The 19,732-nt window shown below is 40.8% G+C and overlaps 2 long non-coding RNA genes across 2 annotated transcripts in view, besides 2 other annotated features; both read right to left on the reverse strand.

Annotated features, from left to right (window-relative positions):
* Positions 1–19,732, reverse strand: part of EIF1B-AS1 (EIF1B antisense RNA 1) — a 136,554-nt gene that overhangs the window by 116,251 nt on the left and 571 nt on the right. The window contains exon 2 of the long non-coding RNA NR_033965.1: positions 11,842–12,001. This is a non-coding gene — a long non-coding RNA (EIF1B antisense RNA 1). The remainder of the gene's footprint in view (positions 1–11,841; positions 12,002–19,732) is intronic.
* Positions 1,405–1,951: an enhancer, noted in NCBI's record as "H3K27ac-H3K4me1 hESC enhancer chr3:40332291-40332837 (GRCh37/hg19 assembly coordinates)". NCBI's record gives its function as "activates a minimal SCP1, AML or CMV promoter by ChIP-STARR-seq in naive H9 embryonic stem cells {active_cell/tissue: H9 hESC(naive)}" and the evidence as "EXISTENCE:reporter gene assay evidence [ECO:0000049][PMID:30033119]".
* Positions 11,330–12,529: an enhancer, noted in NCBI's record as "MED14-independent group 3 enhancer chr3:40342216-40343415 (GRCh37/hg19 assembly coordinates)". NCBI's record gives its function as "activates an origin of replication core promoter dependent on BRD2, BRD4, P300/CBP and CDK7 cofactors, and independent of MED14, by STARR-seq in HCT116 cells {active_cell/tissue: HCT116}" and the evidence as "EXISTENCE:reporter gene assay evidence [ECO:0000049][PMID:35650434]".
* LOC124906228 (uncharacterized) lies at positions 16,882–19,416 on the reverse strand. Its single transcript, XR_007095876.1, has 2 exons — positions 17,319–19,416; positions 16,882–16,914 (listed from the first exon to the last, which is right to left on the reverse strand). It is a non-coding gene; the product is annotated as an uncharacterized LOC124906228 (long non-coding RNA).

Genomic DNA, 19,732 nt, shown 5'->3' on the forward strand with positions numbered 1-19,732 from the left:
TTGTTGCCATTATTTGGTATTGGAAACTCTAGCATACAAAGGCCTCTATTCTGATATGGGCAGGAGGTTGAGGGAAGCAGTTAAATTTCTCTGCAAGTTAAAGTACCAGCAAATTTTAAGCTTTGCCTGTGCGGTTTTGTTGTACAATAAACAAGAAGAAGAGGAGGGGCCAGCAACAAGCCAGCAGGAGGGGGCTCTGGAGAAAGAAGGCTGTTTACTTATGATGGAAATAGCCAGGGGCAATGCTGCCTAACACTGAACTTTAAGGTGATCCCCATTTTGTGCAGTGCTGTGGCCTCTTAGGTTATCTCTAATTTTTTAAAAAGTACTACACAAAATAACCCTGTGTTAGTAATGTTTTGGGAAATAAGAAAGGAGGAGGGATGATTCATCTTTGGGGCTAAGAAATCAACCAGAATAATAATTTAAAGTAGTGTTACATTAGGTAGTCAGGCAGACATGAGCAGGGTAGGAGAGATGCCCCCCTACTAACATTAGGCAACCATCAGGTGATAGTCAGGTAGTTAACTGTCTCTCCAAAATACTAATGGGTCGCAGCCGGCACCAGAGAAAGGCAGTCTCCCAATAGATGGAAAAAACTGAAACTGGTGATCAGCAGCTTTCCGATAAGATCTCAGGAATTGGGTGAGTGGTCTCAAGCATGTGCGTTAAGAGCCAAAATGGCAGAGTTTAACTGGTATATGACCTTCCTCTAGGAACACTCAACTGGTAAGGGAAGAATGCCTCACCTGAGCATGCATACAACTCCAGTAAACTCACTGTGCCTGTGGTCCCTCCCATGTGCTAGCAGGCCACTGTGCATGCAGACAGCCCACTTCAAAGGAAGAATCAGGTGAGAAGGGACAGAAGATGCTGGAACATACAAAACTGTAAGTCAAAGGTCAAACTGGGCACTTGACTCTCTCACATCACCTGCTTGGCCCTCTTCCAAGTGTACTTTACTTCCTCTCATTCCTACTTAAAACTTTTTAATAAACTTTCATTCCTGCTTAAAACTTGCCTCAGTCTCTGACTCTGCCTTATGACCCACCTCAGTTGAATTCTCTCTTCTTAGAAGGCAAGAACTGAAGTTGCTGCAGACCTGTATAAATTAGGCACCGCTAACAGTAGTGACACACGATTCTTTCGGTAACCTCTGTGGCCAGTGGTGCCTCTGCCTGAGTTTCACTTTTGACTGCTGAGCTGGCTCCACCCACTCGGCCTGGCAGGCTGTACTGAGCTTGCGCTACTGGCCCAGATCCCATGCCCACTGTGGACAAGCCAGGCACAGAATGGCAAGGGGTGTGTGAGTGAGCAAGTGTAGGGTCCAGCCATGATGCACAGCCAGGTGTGCCAGCTGCTGCAGTGGGGTGGGCAGCTCCAGGCACCAGCACAGGCGTGAGTTTTGTGAGGGGCTGTAGCTGGGCCAGGCAGCAGCATCTGGACAGGGGGAATGCAGTGGTGCCCAAAAACTCAGAGACACCAGCAACCACAGAGCCCCAAGGGGGTGTTACAGCATGTCACAGCTCTGACTCAGGGAGTCCCGAGGTCTGGGTCCCCAGAAGGGTCACAGCTCTCTTGTCTTGTAGTCTGGCGAATGGGAACATGTCACTGCTGGCAGCTTGGCAGGCCAGCCAGGAACATGTTTCAGCTTATTTGTGTTATAGCTTGTTTGGTCCTGCTGCCCCACTCTGGCCCATGATGGCTCCTGGGCTGGCCTGGCCCCACCACCACTTCCCATCACATGGGACAGCCATCCAGCACTGGCATAGGGTGAGAGGGATTCAGTGTTACAGCTCCTTTCGCATCCGGGCAGGCTCCAGGTTCATGTCCTGTGTCCAAGAGGAATGAGGTTATGTGGACAACCAGAGCGTGAGCAAGGTGGAGAAGAGTTTTATTGAGTGACAAAACAGCTGCTAACACCAGAGGGGACCTTAAGTGGGTAGCCCCTACCCAAAGGCAGGTAGTTCCGACATGTCGCTGAGTCTGGGGTTTTTATGGGCTCAGAATAGGGGAGTGTGTGCTGAGTGGTCCACGGACTGGCCTGGAAAAAGCACCATTCAATTAGCTAAATAGTATCAAGAAAGTTCTCACTTCGGGTTGAGGACCCAACCTGGAACTGGCAGCCCAGTTTTCAGGCTCTAAGCTGTCTTTGCCTTGAACATCAGGTTTCACCAAGGACCTGCCCCTGTCTGCCTAGGAATTTGGCTGTCTCCTGCTGCTATCAGTAGGAGATAACCAGGAGAATGCAACCCTCTTGGGAATCTTTGATAATCTTAGAGAGCGAACAGGACATTCCAGAGTTACATGGGACGAGATTTGAATCCGTTTGTTTTCTTTTCTTTTTTGTTTGAGACAGGGTCTTGCTGTGTTGCCAGGCTGGAGTGCAGTAGCATAATCACAGCTCCTCTTGGGCTCAAACAATCCTCCTGCCTCAGCCTCCTGAGTAGGTGGGACTACAGGCATGTGATTCACCACATCTGGCTAATGTTTTTACTTATTGGGAATCACAAGTCTCACTTTGTTGCCCAGGCTGGTCTCAAACTCCTGGGCTCAAGCAATCCTCCTGCCTTGGCATCCCAAAGTGCTGGGATTACAGGCAAGAGCCACCGTGCCTGGTGGAATCCATTTATCAACAGAAGGAGAAAATGGAAAGAAAATCCCAGAAGACATAGTACTTGGGTATGTCCAGATTACATGTTTATGAAAATTATGGAGAACAGACTCTCCCCGTGTTTATTCAAAGGAAAATTAGGACAAAGCCTGCAAAAACATTCATACTGTGCCTCCCTTAGAATTGAAGCAAAGTTTCCAAATTTAATTGTGCAAGGCCTTGACTGTGCTGAAGTGTTTATCTGTAAAAATATGGTAATAAAAAAGAGCTTATATGTCTGTGAACATATGAATTTAAAGAGAATATTCTCTTCAGTTAGTTATTATTTTCATTCCAGAGCTTTTAAAATTGAGTATCATAATTAGTATAATTGTGATAAGTTAATACTGAAATTCCACTGAGGAAAAAAATGCGAAATGCTTACGTATTTAGGTTTCTTTGATCATGGGCTTTGAGTTTTTTCATAATTTCATTTAAATATGATATGATTCATTTAATTTAACTTAATTTATTTATTTATTCTCTGCTTCATACCAGAATAGATGTAAGTCTACCTACAAAAACAAGGAGAAGGGAAAACTAGACACTTACAAAGAGATTTGTAAAGTTAAAAAGAGAACAGTTTCTCAGGAGTAATACAATTGTTCTTACATCGAAAAGCAGTTAGGCAGTTCTCTGAGTATCCTCATAAATAGAAACCATGATATAAAAAAAACACATCCTTGACAACATTCCTAAAAGACAGATGACAATGAGTGTCATTTGTGCTGTTTCCCTCCCTGTCTCTCAGCCCAGGCTGTTGACAGCACAGACTGATGACATCACATTGTCATGCTGATTGCATGACAATTCAGCAAGACCAGTTCTCAGGGTGACAAGGGGTAGCAGAGGCTAATTGAAATGCAATACACATTCTCAGTTTCTCTGTGGATCTGATTTGATCCAGGGGTGAACTATAAACTGCCTGGAGCGATATCCCCTGTATACTGTTTCAATCAAACTACGGATAAATATTGGACGGCAGTAACTTACTGCTGGGATAATGACACTATAATCCAGGAATAAAATGTGAATGCCCCACAACTATGTGAATAGACTTCCTCCTCTAGGCCAGGGTCCTCTAAATTTAATCTGAAAGACTGGTTCAGGCCATGATTCAGGGGCTGGAGAGGGGATCAGACATGCCTCATTATGTCCTCCTCCCTTTTGAATTCAGGAAAAGCCAACCAGCATTTAACATTAACAGGACCTTAAGTCTGATAAACAGTTACAATTTATTCTCTCTGAAGCCTGCTACCTGGAAGCTTCATCTGCATGATAAAACTTTAGTCTCCACAACCTCTTATCTTAACCCAGATATTCCTTTCTATTGACAATAACTTTTTCAACCAGTTGCCAACCCAAAAAATTTTTAATCTACCTATAACTTAAAAGCCCCACCCCATTCCACACCCCACCTCCACTTCGAGTTGCCCTGCCTTTCTGGATCCTCCTCTGATCAATACTTCCCTTTCAACACCTAGTTTTATTATCCAACTATAGATTCTCTTCCAAAGTCAGTCTTACATTCTAAAATCCATTTATTTCTTTTCTTCCCCTCTTAACTCTCAAGAAACTCTGAGCTAAACAAAATGCATAAAAGCATCTATAATTCCTTCTCTAAGTCTACAGCAATCCAACATATACCTTAAATGTATTTCATTGATGTCTCACATGTCCCTAAGATGTATAAAACCAGGCTGCACCCCTGACCACTTTGGGCACATGTTCTCAGGATCTCCTGAAAGCTGAGTCATGGGCCATGGCCACTTATATTTGGCTCAGTTTAAATCTCTTCAAATATTTTATAGAGTTTGACTCTTTTTGTCAACAACACCATAGGCTCAAATGCCTAACTTTGCAAATGGGTAGTGACTAAATCCAGGAAGATCCCTGCTGTCAAGCATTCACCTCTTACTTGCTGGTTCATGTAGGGGTCTAGAAGGCCCAAAGGGAGGAGCCTGGTGTTGGGGAGGTTGAACAATAGCTATTTCCCAATCAGTATAAAATTATTATTATTTTATTATTTTTTTTTAGACAGAGTCTTGCTCTGTTGCCCAGGCTGGAATGCAGTGGTGCGATCTCAGCTCACTGCAAGCTCCGCCTCCCAGGTTCACACCATTCTCCTGCCTCAGCCTCCTGATTAGTTAGGAGTACAGGCACCTGCCACCACGCCCAGCTAATTTTTTGTATTTTTAGTAGAGACGGGGTTTCACCGTGTTAGCCAGGATAGTCTCGATCTCCTGACCTCGTGATCTGCCCGCCTTGGCCTCCCAAAGTGCTGGGATTACAGGCATGAACCACCGTGCCCGGCCGAAATTATTTTAATAATATAACAGCTGGTATGGACAGTCATATATGCCAGCTGATGTCAACTCTCCAACACATAACAAAATTACAAATATATATATATATATCGTTTGACTTGAGGCTTTTTAAACTTGAGCTTCAGGGACTCTACTGCTAGTTTCATGGTAAAAATCTAAGTGCATTGTTTGTAAGACAGACAATAAACAATGCTAAATTTCATCAAGTCTTCCCTGTAATATGCCTGTAGGGCACTATCTGTCCCCACTGTTGTTTATTAAAGAGATGTGATAAGCCCAAGATAGTTAATGGACATCTGCCCTGCCATGTGGCCTCTGAATGTTGAGGAGACACATATACTGTCAGAGTGTATACAGTGTATCCTCCTACACCCCACCCTGAGCTGGCCCAACTCTCTGGAATCAAGGTTAGGGTAGGGAGTGTGATCCAAGCCATACACAAATCCAACACAGAGCACTAAGAGAGTGCTTATCCAGCTTCTCAGTGTCCTGCGGTTGCATTCAGACAACAGTGCTCTTTCGGCTAGGGTTAGGTTCAACTTCACTTAACTGAAAATTCAAAAGAGAAGAGGTTAAACACATGGGGTTTCTTCTCTCATATATAGCAAGTCCATAAACAGGCAGTCCAGAGCCCCAGACTCCATCTATTATTCTGCCCCACCAGCTGCAGCACATCCATATAGCACGGTTACTTCATGGTCCAAGGCAGCTATCAGACTTCCAGCATCGTGTTGGCATTCCAGGAAGCGGAAGGAATAAGAAAGAATACCAGGCTGGGTGCGGTGGCTCACGCCTGTAATCCCAGCACTTTGGGAGGCCGAGGTGGGCAGATCACGAGGTCAGGAGATCGAGACCATCCTGGCTAACATGGTGAAACCCTGTCTCTACTAAAAATACAAAAAAATTCGCTGGCGTGGTGGCAGGCGCCTGTAGTCCCACCTAATTGGAAGGCTGATGCAGGAGAATGGTGTGAACCCAGGAGGTGGAGCTTGCAGTGAGCCAAGATCGTGCCACTGCACTCCAGCCTGGCAGAAAAAGGAAGACTCCGTCTCAAAAAAAAAAAAAAAAAGAAAGAAAGAAGACCAAAACAGGCGCTTATCCCAACTGAGTCAGCTTCCTTTAAACAATTTCTATGGTTTGAATATTTTTTTGTCCCCTCCAAAACTTATGTTGAAACTTAATCCCCAATGTTGGCAGTACTGAGAGGTAGGGCTTTAAGAGGTGACGGGGTCATGGGAGGTCTGCCCTCATTAGTGGATTAATCTATTCGTGGATTTAAGAATTAATGGGATAATGGATTAATGGATTATCATGGGAATGGGACTGGTGACTTTATAAGAACAGGAAGAAAAACCTGAGCTAGCATGCTCAGTTCTGTCACCACGTGATGCCATGTGCCACCTCAGGACCCTTCAGAGAGTCCCTACCAGCAAGAAGACCCTCGCCAGATGTGGCCCCTTGACCTTGGACCTCTCAGCCTCTATAACTGTAAGAAATAAATTCCTTCTCTTTGTAAATCACCCAGTTTCCAGTATACAGAAAATGAAGTAACACAGCAATCTTTTTGGATAACCCATTCAACACTTCTGCCTACATCCCATTGGCTACACCTCGCAAGGAAAGCTGTGAAACGTAGTATAGTCTTTTAGCTGGGCACACTGCAGCCCAGAATAAAATCAGGATTCTGTTTTACTACGAAAAAAGGAGAGAATGGATATTAGCTGGCAACCCACAATCTCCACCACAAACCAATTACAGCAAATCATATAGCAAAGCAACAAAGAATGGCAACTACATGATTTATTATTTATGCTGAACTAACCCAAGTCAGAAGATCAACCAAAAATTCTGCAGCACTAGATCTTTCTTGAGAAAAAAGGTATAATTTAACTTTTTAAAATAAAATGCAAATTATGTCCTTGGTGACTTCACCCTTTGACTTGGCACAAACTCTTCCCAAAATGTCCCCTAAGGTGGAACAATCTAGATCACATTTGGCTCCACCTTTACTATTTTCTTAATTTATTGATAGTTTCTCTCATCATAATTCCATTACATAAGGAGGGAATCCCACAACCTCAGTAATCAGAAGTGAATTCTCTATAAATCAGCCTTGATGAAAAAGAAAATAAGCTAGAAGGCTGGGCTCAGTGACTCACACCTGTAATCCCAGCACTTTGGGAGGTTAAAGCAGGAGGATCGCTTGAGGCCAGAGTTTGAGACCAGCTTGGGTAACATAGTGAGATCCCATCTCTAAAGAAAAAGGCAACCAGGCATAGTGGCACACACCTGTAGTTCTAGCTGCTCGGGAAGCTGAGGTGGAAGGATCACTTGAACCCAGGAGTTCAAGGTTACAGTGAGCTATTATTGCACCACTGCACTCCAGCCTGGGTGGCAGAGTGAGACCCTATCTCTAAATATATATATGTATATACACACATATATATACAAGCTAGTAATTCAGATTTTTCTTAAAACAGAAATCTGGACTTTTATATGATAAAATGACAGCTAATTTGCTTTTTAAAAAAAACAATGTGTGAGCCTCTATTTGACCAAGACCTAAACTCTGCTTGGTTAAGTGTCCACTATACTCTTGACGTTCCTCACTTTTGTTGTCATAGGGATGCAGTTCTTTCCACAGAAAATCTTGCCTGCCTTTTTCTCCCTGTTCTTTCTTCCCTTTTTTCTCCCTTTTCTTTCCATTTCTCTTCTTTCATCTATCTTTACCAAGATAATTTTCCTTCTAATGACCTTGTTACCCATTCCTTCTTCTACACACTTCTTTCCTGAAATGCTCCTCTGATCAATACTTCCCTTTCAACATCCAGTTTTATTATCCAACTATAGATTCTCTTCCAAAGTCAGTCTTACATTCTAAAATCCATTTATTTCTTTTCTTCCTCCCTTAACTCTCAAGAAACTCTGAGCTAAACAAAATGCACAAAAGCATCTATAATGCCTTCTCTAAGTCTACAGCACGAGGCTACAAACCAAATGCCATCAGCAGTTAGTCAGGCAATATTCTTGACAATCGACAGTGACAACTGCAATGACAATTGATACGTAGCTTCCTTGTAGAAGAACCAATAGGACATAGTAGTTATTGTGACAAATTCAAGAACCCATCCCTTATCTAAGGTAGAGCAATTGCTACCAGCTCTTCTTAATTTTTTAAATATAAGCTGGAAAGTCCGGTTTTTTTCTTAAAAGAAGAAATAAATCGGAATTTTCATATGAAATATACAACTAATTTACCTTCTAAATACAATGGGTAGACCTATATTTTCAACCTTTGATCTATAGCACATATTGAATTACTCTCTAATCGATTCAAACATACATACCTCATCACAAAACCTGGAAGAGTGCTAAGCACATTGTAGGCCCTCAATAAAAGTTGATTGATGTTGTAACTGAGTCAATGGACTTATTCATACTCTTCACTTAGGGAGGAATTTCTGGACTGTTTCAGTGCTTGGGTAAGGTTAAGAAATATTACCTTGACTATGATGAAAATAAGGGAGATACAATCACTTTTTTCTTCCTAACCAGTGGTTTTATACTTCATTTGTTATCACCTAAACCCTATGATTATGATAAATTAGCTTTAGTATGCTGCACACAAGCTTTAGTGATTTCTTTATTCATGAGTGACTATAGGCCTTTAATTAATAACCACCGAAACTGTATTTTACTGGTCCATGTCTTACATGTCACCAATTGGCCAGACTTATTCACTCTTTCCCTGCGAAAACACCACTAAATGTAATGACTCGAATGGTAGGCTTAACCTCCATGACAGAATTATAACATGAGAAAAAAAAAAACATGAAATTTGGAGGCAGACAAACCTGAGTTCAAATCCTAGCTATGACACTTGTTGTATATTCTTAAGCAAGTAATAAACTTCTTGGGGGTCTCATTTTTCTCATCTGTAAAATGGGACAATAAACTCCACTTACAAAGTTGTTATGAAGAGTATGAAGAGTAAATAAATAATATAAAATGCTTGGCAGTTTTCCTGGCCCACAGTGGAGAATACAAAATATTAGTAGCAACTCCCTTTGCTTACTCACTGTGTATCTCAGTTCAGAATGTTTTCTCTTTTTAGCTATAAAGTGGGTCAACTCATATTTACCTAGTATTCATAGTATTTTAACTTCCTATATAGTACTTGGAAACACTAAGAAAATTTGCCAGGTTTCAATTATAAAAGTGAGTAGATGGGCAAACTAATTTAACAAAAACACAATTACACAATTTACAGGTTGGTTCATTTCCTAGCCATAAAACAATCCAAAGATTCCTTGCTATAAAACAACACTAATACACATTTCTAAAAGTGTTCTGAAGTGAAGGTTTTTAGTACAATAACAAATTTACACCACCGGTAGATAAAAAATTTGTGCATGTGTGTGTGCACATGGACACACACACACACACACACCACTGGTGGATAAAGGGTCATCACTCTAAAAAAGTTAATTTTTTTCCTAAGTATCAGATATATTCATAATTCAAGGTTTAATTTCATGATAGATGCCAAAGAGAAATTTATTCTTACATTCAAAATACATGTATTGAAACTTTGCTTTCAACTTAGATGAAGTAACAAGGACTGAATTTACTCTTCCACCTAAAACAACCAAATCACAGGACAAAATATAAGAAACAACAGTTTTTCAAAACACTCCACATCAAACAAAGGACAGTGATTCCTGAGGGATGGGAAACAAATAAGGTGAGCCCTGCAATTGGCCCATCTTTCTGCCTTGAAAGAGTGTCCCAGGCCGGAGCACAGAAAAGGTGTCTTAGTCTGTTTTGTGTTACTATAACAGAATACCACAAACTGGGTAATTTATTTTATAAAGGAACTCATTTCTCACAGTTCTGGATGCTGGCAAGTCCACAGTGAAGGGCTTGCATATGGTGAAGACTTTTTTGCTGCATCATCCCACAGTAGAAGGCAGAAGGGCAGGACAGAATGCATACGGACTTTTTAACGATAAATTCTGTCTTTAAATCGTCTCTTTCCTGTCTTATTTTACTGTAAGAAGTTAAAAGTAGCCATGCACAGCATGGAGGACTTGCTGTTTAGATATTTCTTTCACCAGATATCCTAGTCCATCACTCTTAACTTTCACCCTTCATAAAGCCTCTGGGCACGGACACTGTTCAGCCCAGTTATTTGCTACTTTATAACAAGGGTGGCCTTTGCTCTAGTTTCCAATACCTTGTTCTTCAGTTCCATCTGAAACCTCATCAGAATGGCCTTTACTGTCCATATTTCTTTCATTATGCTGGTCACAACCACCTAAATAATCTCTAATAAGTTCCAGACTTTCTCTCGTCTTCTCTGTTTTTGAGCCCTCACCAGGATTGCCCTTAATGCACCATTCACAGCAATCCAAGCTTTTTCTACCTTGCTACACCAAATTCTTCCAGCCTCTATCCATTATCCAGTTCCTAAGCCACTTCCACATTTGTGGGTATTTCTCATAGCAACAGCCCTACTTCTCAGTACCAATTTTCTGTCTTAGTCCATATTATGTTGCTATAACTGAATACCACAGATTAAGCAATTTCTAAAGAAAAGAAATTCATTTCTCACAGTTCCGGAAACTGGGAAGTCCAAGGTCAAGAAGAGTGCATCTGGTGAGGGCCTTCTTGCTGAGTCATTCCATGGCAGAAAGCAGAAGAGCAAGAGAGCACACAGGGGAAGGGAGCAAAACTCATCCTTTTATCAGGAACTTGCTCCTGCAATAACTAACCCACTCCCATAACAACAACATTAATTCTTTCATGAGGGCAGAGCTAATGCCCTAATCATGACCTAATCATCCTCATGACCTAATCATCCCTTGAAAGTCCCAACTCTCAATATTGTTACATTGGAGATTAAGCTTCTAACACACAAACTTTAGGGAACACGTTCTAGTCACAGCAGAGAGGGAACACAGGCAGACCCCCAGCAGACTCCATAAGTAGAAAAAGTGGAGTGCAAAAATATTAGGGCAGCTAGAGTTTGCAAGCAGAATATTAGAGAGGAGAGGGCTTCACAGAGAGGGAACGCTGGAAAGTTCTTTAGTCCTCCCCATGTATTCAGCAGAATACTAATGTAAGGAATTGTAAGGAAACTGTGAAGCCTAGGAAATAAACACCTAAAAGACGAAGGGGAATCAGTATGCAATATGCACACAGTCTGGGAATAGTACCTCTGTATACCTCACACTGGTCCTGCTTCTCTAGTCGAACACATACATACATATATAAAGAAACTTGTTACAGGGAATTGGCTTATGTGGTTATTAGAGTTGGTTAAGCAGCTTCTGTAAGGCTGTGTCTCTGCATCTGATATAGAGTCCATAGGGAAAGCAGTCAGTAAGGGAATGTCAGGAAAAGACTATCACAAGCAAGCTGAAACCCTGTAATCGTGAGCTAGTACTCCATGAGGATAGACTGAAATCCATGTCTTTTTTTGTTGCCTCTGACCTTAGTGGAATGGTAATTTTTTTTTTCTTTTTTCTTTTTTTTGTTTTTTTGAGACAGGCTCTGGTTCTGTCAACCAGGCTAGAGCACAGTGGCACTTATCTCGGCTCAGTGCAACCTCCACCTCCCAGACTCAAGACATCCTCCCACCTCAGCCTCCTGAGTAGCTGGGAATAGTGGCTCATGCCACCATGCCTGGATAATTTTTTGTATTTTTTATAGATCGGGGTTTCACCATGTTGCCCATCCTGGTATCAAACTCCTGAGCTCAAGTGGTCTGCCTGCCACAGCCTCCCAAAGTGCTGAGATTACAGGTGTGAGCCACCACGCCTGGCCAGGGCTCTTTTTTATGGAACTAAAAACACATACCTGGCTCATGAGTAAGGAAAAGGTGAAGAAAAATCCAGGGAAGATAGCGCAGTTGTAGGCTCAGACACTGGTCATGTCATTGAGGTAAGTCAGCTACAAAAGTGCTTCTTTCCTTCCGGTTTCCAAATCATGAAAGATTAGTTCTTGTGATCCACCCAATCTGTAAATACACAAGAAAGGAAAGTCTGTGAAATGTAGTTCAGCCTAGCCAAGTTTTTATATTATAAAGCCATCATATAGAGAGAGAAAAAAGAAAAAAAATAAGAGTATCAGTGAACTATGAACAACTTTAATTAGCCTTAAATATGTGCAACTGGAGTTTCCAAAGTAGAGGAGAGAAGAGTGGGACAGAAAAATTCTAAGGAATAATGGAGAAAAATTTTTAAAATTTGATGAAAATTATAACTGAGATCCTAGAAGCTTAATGACCCTTAAACACAGGAAACATAAAATCTCTACACCAAGGCACATAATAATCAAATTGCTCAAATTGTTCAAAACTAGTGATAAAGGCAAAAATCTTAAAAGCAGTCAGAGAAAAAAAAAATTTTACATACAAGGGACCAAAGATACAATGACAGCAGATTTCTCATTGTTTACAGACAATGTAAATAAGAAGACAGTGGAGCCACAACTTTAAAGTTCTGAGAGGAAAAAAAAAATAGGCCAGGCATGAATAGTGCAAGCCTGTAATCCTAACACTTTGGGAGTCCAACAGGGAAGGATCACTTGAGCCTGGAGTTTGAGAGCAGCCTGGGCAACCAACCTAGCAAGCCCCGTCTCTATTAGAAAACAACAACAACAATTGTCAACATAGAATCCTATACCCAACAAAACCAGTCTTTCAAAAATGAAGGTTAAATAAAAATATTTCAGACATGCAAAAACTTTAAGAATTCATCACCTTCAGACCCACACTACAAAAAATAACAAAGGAAGTTCTGCCAGCAGAAAGAAAATAACACCAGATAAAAAATATGGATCTACACAAAAAATGAAAAGCACTAGAAATGGTAACTTTTTGGGTAAATTTTTTCCTATTAAACCTCTTAAAAAGATAATTAACCATTTTAAACAAAATAAAAATGATGTAGTACAAAAGTAAAATGTATAACAACACAAAAGGCTGAGAGGAAAGAAGTAGATGTACATGTTTGTCAAGTTCTAATACTGTATGTAAAGTGGTACAAAATATATGTACTAAACACATCCTATGAACAGGCATTTTTGGGCCCTAGTTACAATGATGAAAACAATCTACCCCCTCTCCTTGAGGAATTTACCTCCTCCTGTACTCTCCCAAGAAGCTTAATCAGCTTTTACACTGAGCAGAAAAACTGCGGGGTAAGACCTCTTTTTAAAGTGACCTTCTTTTTAATGTTTCAGTTCTACGCTGGCAATGCATTATGGAGTAAATGACATAAGATGCAGCCACTATTTTAATGTTAAAGAAATATGTGCCTGTAGGTAAGATATATTGTTATATACTACCATTAAAGTTCATTCTATGGTCACAAGAAAGGACTGAAGGTTCCACCTCCAGGTCAACTGAGATTACAATCAACATCTAACCAAAAGTCCCCAATTTCATTCACAATGAAGCTCTACAATTAATAATACTCAAACACATTTTCTAAACTTATTTCAATAAGATTGAAATTACTCCCATTTAAACAGATGTGATTCTAAGAATGTCTATTTTTAGATGGGAGTTGCATAAGTTGCCAGAAATGGATCTGGCAATGTCAAGGTTATGTCTCACTGAAAAACAGACATAATTTAACCTTTGTGGGGGGAAATACGCTATCCTGCATCTACCCTGGAGCAGATGGATATGTAAGCATGGATGTAGGGAGAGAGTGGCAATGGGTGGGCCTTTTTGCTTCAAGCACCCCACCATGCACATACTTGTCCTTTCCTAAGGGGGTAATATATATAAATCTTGTGGCAGCAAAGGGGTTTTATTTCTGTTGTTTATTCTGTATCCACCTTTCCTGGACTATTCCAGTGTAATCAAGTTGCATAAATTGACTGACACCATTCCAAGAAAAATTTTATTGTAATGAACCAAAGTGACTAGGGCTGTAATGAGATTTCACAAGAGTACAGGATCACAGGAAATGAAAAGAGAAACACCATATATATTCTGTAGAAAAATGTATAATGTTCTAGCAACTGCCCCAACCTCACATCAGAATCAGTCACTTCCAAGCATTCTCATTGTACAACTCCTGGAAAAGGTTTTGAACAATAAACTTCATCTTCTGTGCCATACACTTTAGTAAGTGCTTGTGATACATTTTCTGATGCACTCATTACAAAATCCTATAAGGTATAAATTATGATGTCCTTTTCACAGAAGACTGAGGCTTAGAGAGGTAAAGTTTTCACAGCTACTAATGGCTAGACAAGAATATGATGCCAGATCTCACTTTTAAGCCTAGACCCTTACATTCTATACAAAGCATAAATAAGCCATTGGATCCAAGTGTATTCAAATCATACATTGCACCATAAGCCACTACTGCCCCAGAAGTCCACAAGGAAGATAAATTCTCAAGTGTCAGTGGTGAAGGAAAGAAAAATACCACGATTGTAGGTCAAGCTTATGACTGAAACCCCAATGCAGAGCTGTTAGGAAACCTGGGCTGGAACATAAAGCCAAAGATTGGAGGCCTCTGAAGCCAAATCCGTCCCCTAACCCCAACTTAACTCATAGAACCAGCTGGCTCTATGGGAGGTGGGAAACTGAAGAGATGAGAAAGCTCCAAGACACAGGAGATAAAAGGGAGAAAAGAAGGTGGTTAGGTCTGCCCCATTGAACTTCCAGGTATTTGAGAAAAGGGGATAAAAAGTGAGATGCATTTATGTACATGACCTGTCAACATACAACAGCCTTGTCCTCTAGTAAATATGTCCAATCGAATGTCCCAAGAGCTTACCCCTCTGATTAGCAACACTCCATCATGAAAGGAGAGTAAGCAGTTTTGGGGAGAGGTAATTCACCATGGGCCCTGAGGGTGCCTCCATGTTCTTATTGGTTTGCCAAGAATGCAAGGCCCTGACCACATTTTACCTTGGCCTTTTCTCAGAGTTGTATTTGCAGGGAGCAGCCCTGAGGGATGAGGAAATATCGCCCCCCAAGACAAGCTTGTTACTGCTTACAATAAAAGCAACAGACTCCACAAGCACAGTGTTCCTCTCCTGTAATACAACCCACTGCATGTGTAGGCATCAATCAAGACCCACCTGTGTTGGACTTGGGTCCAATCCATGGGTCTTAGATTTGTGGGCATAGGAAACCAGCATTAACACTAAGCTCTGGCTACTGCTTTTGCCATGAGTAATAAAGGCCTATCTCTAACGCAAGAGTCTCAGTTTCAGTACCCATGAAACTGTGGCAAGCTAACCTGTTAGCCTGCAAGTAGGATAAAAATCTCAGACCCTTCACAGTTCTTGACAGCAGGAGGGTAGAATGAAAGGGAAGAAACTTGAATGCAATACTGTCCCTTCCTTGAGACTAGAAGTTATGTGGCATGGCCATGTATCCACATTCCCTCCTAATTAAGATCACCAGTGGGGAGTTACTATGTCAGGGAAATTTCCTCGTACTTATTGAGTTAGCTCCATTTAGTCTTCAACCTCGCAGGCGTTGAAATTTTCTTATTCTGATATGTTTTATAAATTACATGTTAGCTTGGTTTAACTCTTCTTTTAGATTCAAAAGCTCTCTGAAAATAAGAAAAACTATTGACTCTTTAACATGTGCATAATTTTTGTTTCTGTTCAATATTATACTCCGTGGATACTCCACGTATAATGTGCTAATTGTCAGCATGTTAATCATCATCACTATTAACGTTTTTAACTAAGAGCCTACAAATACAGATCCCATTCACCCACCTTCCTTACTCTTTTCCCAGGAAAGTGGGAGAGTACAAAGCATATGATATTAGGAAACAGCCCTAGGTTATGACTTTCTCTTCTGTGGATCTTCTGATCCATTCTACAGAAACATTGACTCAATAATCATGTATTTTAGACACAGAGATAGCAACTAAATTGTTTTATTCATACCATGCACATTATTAACCACTTGACAACACAGTTGTGGCCAGGAAACGTAATTTTAAACTCTCAGCTACTTAACTCTCATTTAAAGTTGAGATGTGAGAAATACTAGTTATGATCCTCAAAGGACATTCATTCTTTGGGGTTTCTCTTTGTACCTTGTCTCCTGGAAATACCAGTCACCTTGACTCATCACTTGGGAATAGTGATTTCCCATTTCACTAATTCAGTAAAGAGACCCTGGGGTCTTCCCAATTGTGGGAGGGCAGAAGCTGTCCGTAGCGAGATTTGGATATCTGCTCAAAGTACTAGGCAAACATTCTTTTTGCCCTTCAATATGTTCACATTTTCTTTTTTTTTTTTTTTTTTTTTTGAGACGGAGTCTCGCTCTGTCGCCCAGGCTGGAGTGCAGTGGCGGGATCTCGGCTCACTGCAAGCTCCGCCTCCCGGGTTCACGCCATTCTCCTGCCTCAGCCTCCCAAGTAGCTGGGACTACAGGCGCCCGCCACTACGCCCGGCTAATTTTTTGTATTTTTAGTAGAGACGGGGTTTCACCGTTTTAGCCGGGATGGTCTCGATCTCCTGACCTCGTGATCCGCCCACCTCAGCCTCCCAAAGTGCTGGGATTACAGGCGTGAGCCACCGCGCCCGGCCTATGTTCACATTTTCTTACGATTAGATATGCAAGATACAAAGGGCTTGTTTTAGGGTACACACTCAGGAGAAGAAAAGGCTGCCTGGCCTGCTTTTACATAGATGGCCTTAAGCCTTCATGCAGGCTATGTGGAAGTTCTCTTAGCCTCATGAAATCCAGCACAGTTCAGGAGATTTTACAGTTTGGAGGAAAAGCTTTGTAGTAATAACCAGAATTATTTAAACTGGAATTTTCCTTCTACTTATCGTCTACCAACCAGTCTGGAGTCAGGTTTATCAGTTTGGGTTCTTTGAGGAGCAGACATCAAGATGGGATTCGATGTGCAAGAAATTTATTGGGGGAAATGCCTGTGAAGGACAGAAGGAAGAAAGGTTGAATTAGAAGAATCTTAGACTTCAGCACAAATCTAAGGAAGTTCAGCCAGGCCAATGGAGAGTCCTTGAGCCAGAGCTGCCTGTCAGAGAAGTTCCACATCTCCCAAGAACAGGCCTGCTGTAGCATCTTTGTTGTGCTCAGTCACTGGCTAGGAATGGCTGATGGGAAGTGTGGCCTCAACGGGATGCAATGCTGAATTCAGAGCATAGCAGCTGGGGCTATTCATCAGTTATGCCCACTAACGCAGGAAATCTGAATGGTGCATTATCACATCCACCACGGTAGGCAGCCTAAGGATGGATGAGGACCCAAGTTTCCAACCAGATAATACATCCTCATGACCAGCAGATATAAGAAACAGCTGCAAAAAACCCACCATTGCCTTCATTGTGGGCAAACTGCTAGGGATGCTTCCACTACATCACAGTGCTCCCTTTATGAGGGCCCAAGAATAATACCTCCTGTGGCTCAGGGCCTGGCAAAGCTATTCCTCCTGCGCAACTGGTATGTTTTCATCCTGTAGACAAGATTTTCTAGCTGACTTCTTCTTTGTCTTAACTATCAGAAAGTTAGAACCAGACTTGGGGTTCTACCTTCAGCTTTAGGTGCTTTTTAATTATTATCTTCTATAATTCCTTTACTCAGCACAACTGTTCTCTGTGAGTGATCTAAAATGCTTTTCTGAATTAAGACAAGAAATAATTACCTTAACCTAGGCTGGTACCATTTAGAACTAAAAATGCTAGATTTTAAATGCTTCAGTTTATTCTTTTTATGATAACTTTACACACAGGCCAAATTCTTTCACTCTAAACTAGTGCTATCTAGTAGAAATAGAGCATGAGCCACATGTAATTTTAAGTCTTTAGTAGCTACATTAAAAAGGTAAAACGAAATAGGTGAAATTAAGACAATTTAGTCTTTGGAAGCCTACTGTATATCTTCTACTTACATCACATCCCAATTTAAATCAGCTATACTGCAAGTACTCAATGGCCACATGTGGCTAGTGGTTTCTGTACTGGACACTGCAGGTCTAAACACAAAGACTATGAATCATGAGAGTTAGAAGAGCCTTAAGAACCACAACTGTATCTAATCTGTATTCATATTGGCTTTGATTAAAGATTTCTGAGCTCCTGGGGGTTTCTTTTTTCTTTCTTTTTTTTTTTTTTTCTCACTCCTGAAGGTTTCTGATGCAAACACTAAATCTAAGAAAAGTGAGTTCTCCTGACAGGGGTAATGACCATGAAACCCTAAGATTTCTGGAATTTTTCTTTTAATTTCTCTGTGTTTGTAGTTTTTTCTTCACTGGATCACCTTTGGCTTCTTCTGAGAAATAAAGTAATATAAAATACTCATGTACATCTACTAAGAAAGAAAGGAAACAAATAGAGATGCATTATCTAGATTACAAATTATTTAGAAATTAGAGTGTTAGAGTATTAACATAGGGCACAAAATTGAACTAATAAAATTACTTTAAAGCACACTTATTTAGATATTTTGATGCTCCTTGTTTTGGAGCCAGCTCTAAACTTTACACCTCAATTTGGGATACGAAGAGTGTTTTCCATTTGAACCAGAGCTGGAAGACCACAAATGTGGTTAGATTTCTGAGAGTTAAGAATTTGATTTTTTTTTCAGGCATTAACCTACAAAAGCCTTCATTTCCACACCTGGTGCATAGAGTAATGCTTACCTTATAAAATAGCTATGAAGATTAATAATGTTATATATAAGCTTTGTAACAGGCAAACAGTAAGTACTAAATAAATGGCACTTATCATCATTGTTAATTACAAAAGATTGTCAAATCCAGGTATTCTTAACCTGCGGTCTGCAGATCCTTGGCTCATGGATAAAACTGCAGGGGTGGAGATCCCTAAAATTGGATGGGGAAAGATTATATCTGCATTTTCATTAACCTCTAAGCAAAATTTACCATTTCTTTCCATTATGAATAAAGGCAACATCATAGTGATAGAAGGACCTGTCACTTCGCACCAACAGAAGTTACACATACTTTCATATTAAATTTCTGATGTTACGGACATCACAAAATATCTCTTACATTTATCAGCTTTTTGAAATTATAGTATTAGACCTAATCTTGCTAGATCTTATTAGTGTATTAATAAAGAAATACACGTTATTAATGTATTTTTTAAATTTCAATATAATTGGTTTCCTTTGTAATCCTATGTACTTTGTGAACTTAAAACTTAACTTCTCATTATTCTGAGAAGGGATTCAGCAGCTTCACAGGATTGCCATGGCACACACAAAAAAGTTAAGAATCCCTAAATTTTAGTCTATCTCTTTGCTTCCAGAAAGCCAACCAAGTTTGACAATTGAACACACCTGCCTGAGTGAGCCAATTCCCAAAGTCTCGGGTTTATTTTTCTGTGCGTGACCTGATAGGAAGATATTACGGTCTGGTACATGACTCCATCAATTAACCTATTTGCTGAGCTCACCTTCAGCTTATACCTGGCATCTTTCCTGAATTCTCTGTTGGGCCTTCTGAGGCACACAAAATGAGCTGACAAGCTGATTTTCTGGTATCTTCTGTTCATACACACCTGGCCCCCACTCGATGCCAGGCCCAGGATTAAGCTGGGCAGTGATTCTCAAGCCTGATCCCAGACCAGCAGGCAGGATCAGCATCACCAAGGAGCTTATGAGAATTGCAGATTTTCAGGTCACACCCTAGACTTCCTGAAACAGAAACTCTGGGGTCTATCAGTGTTTTCTCAAGCCCTCCAGAGACACACGCTTTAGTCTGAG

Source organism: Homo sapiens, chromosome 3 (genome assembly GCF_000001405.40).
Source record: "Homo sapiens chromosome 3, GRCh38.p14 Primary Assembly".
NCBI lineage: Eukaryota > Metazoa > Chordata > Mammalia > Primates > Hominidae > Homo > Homo sapiens.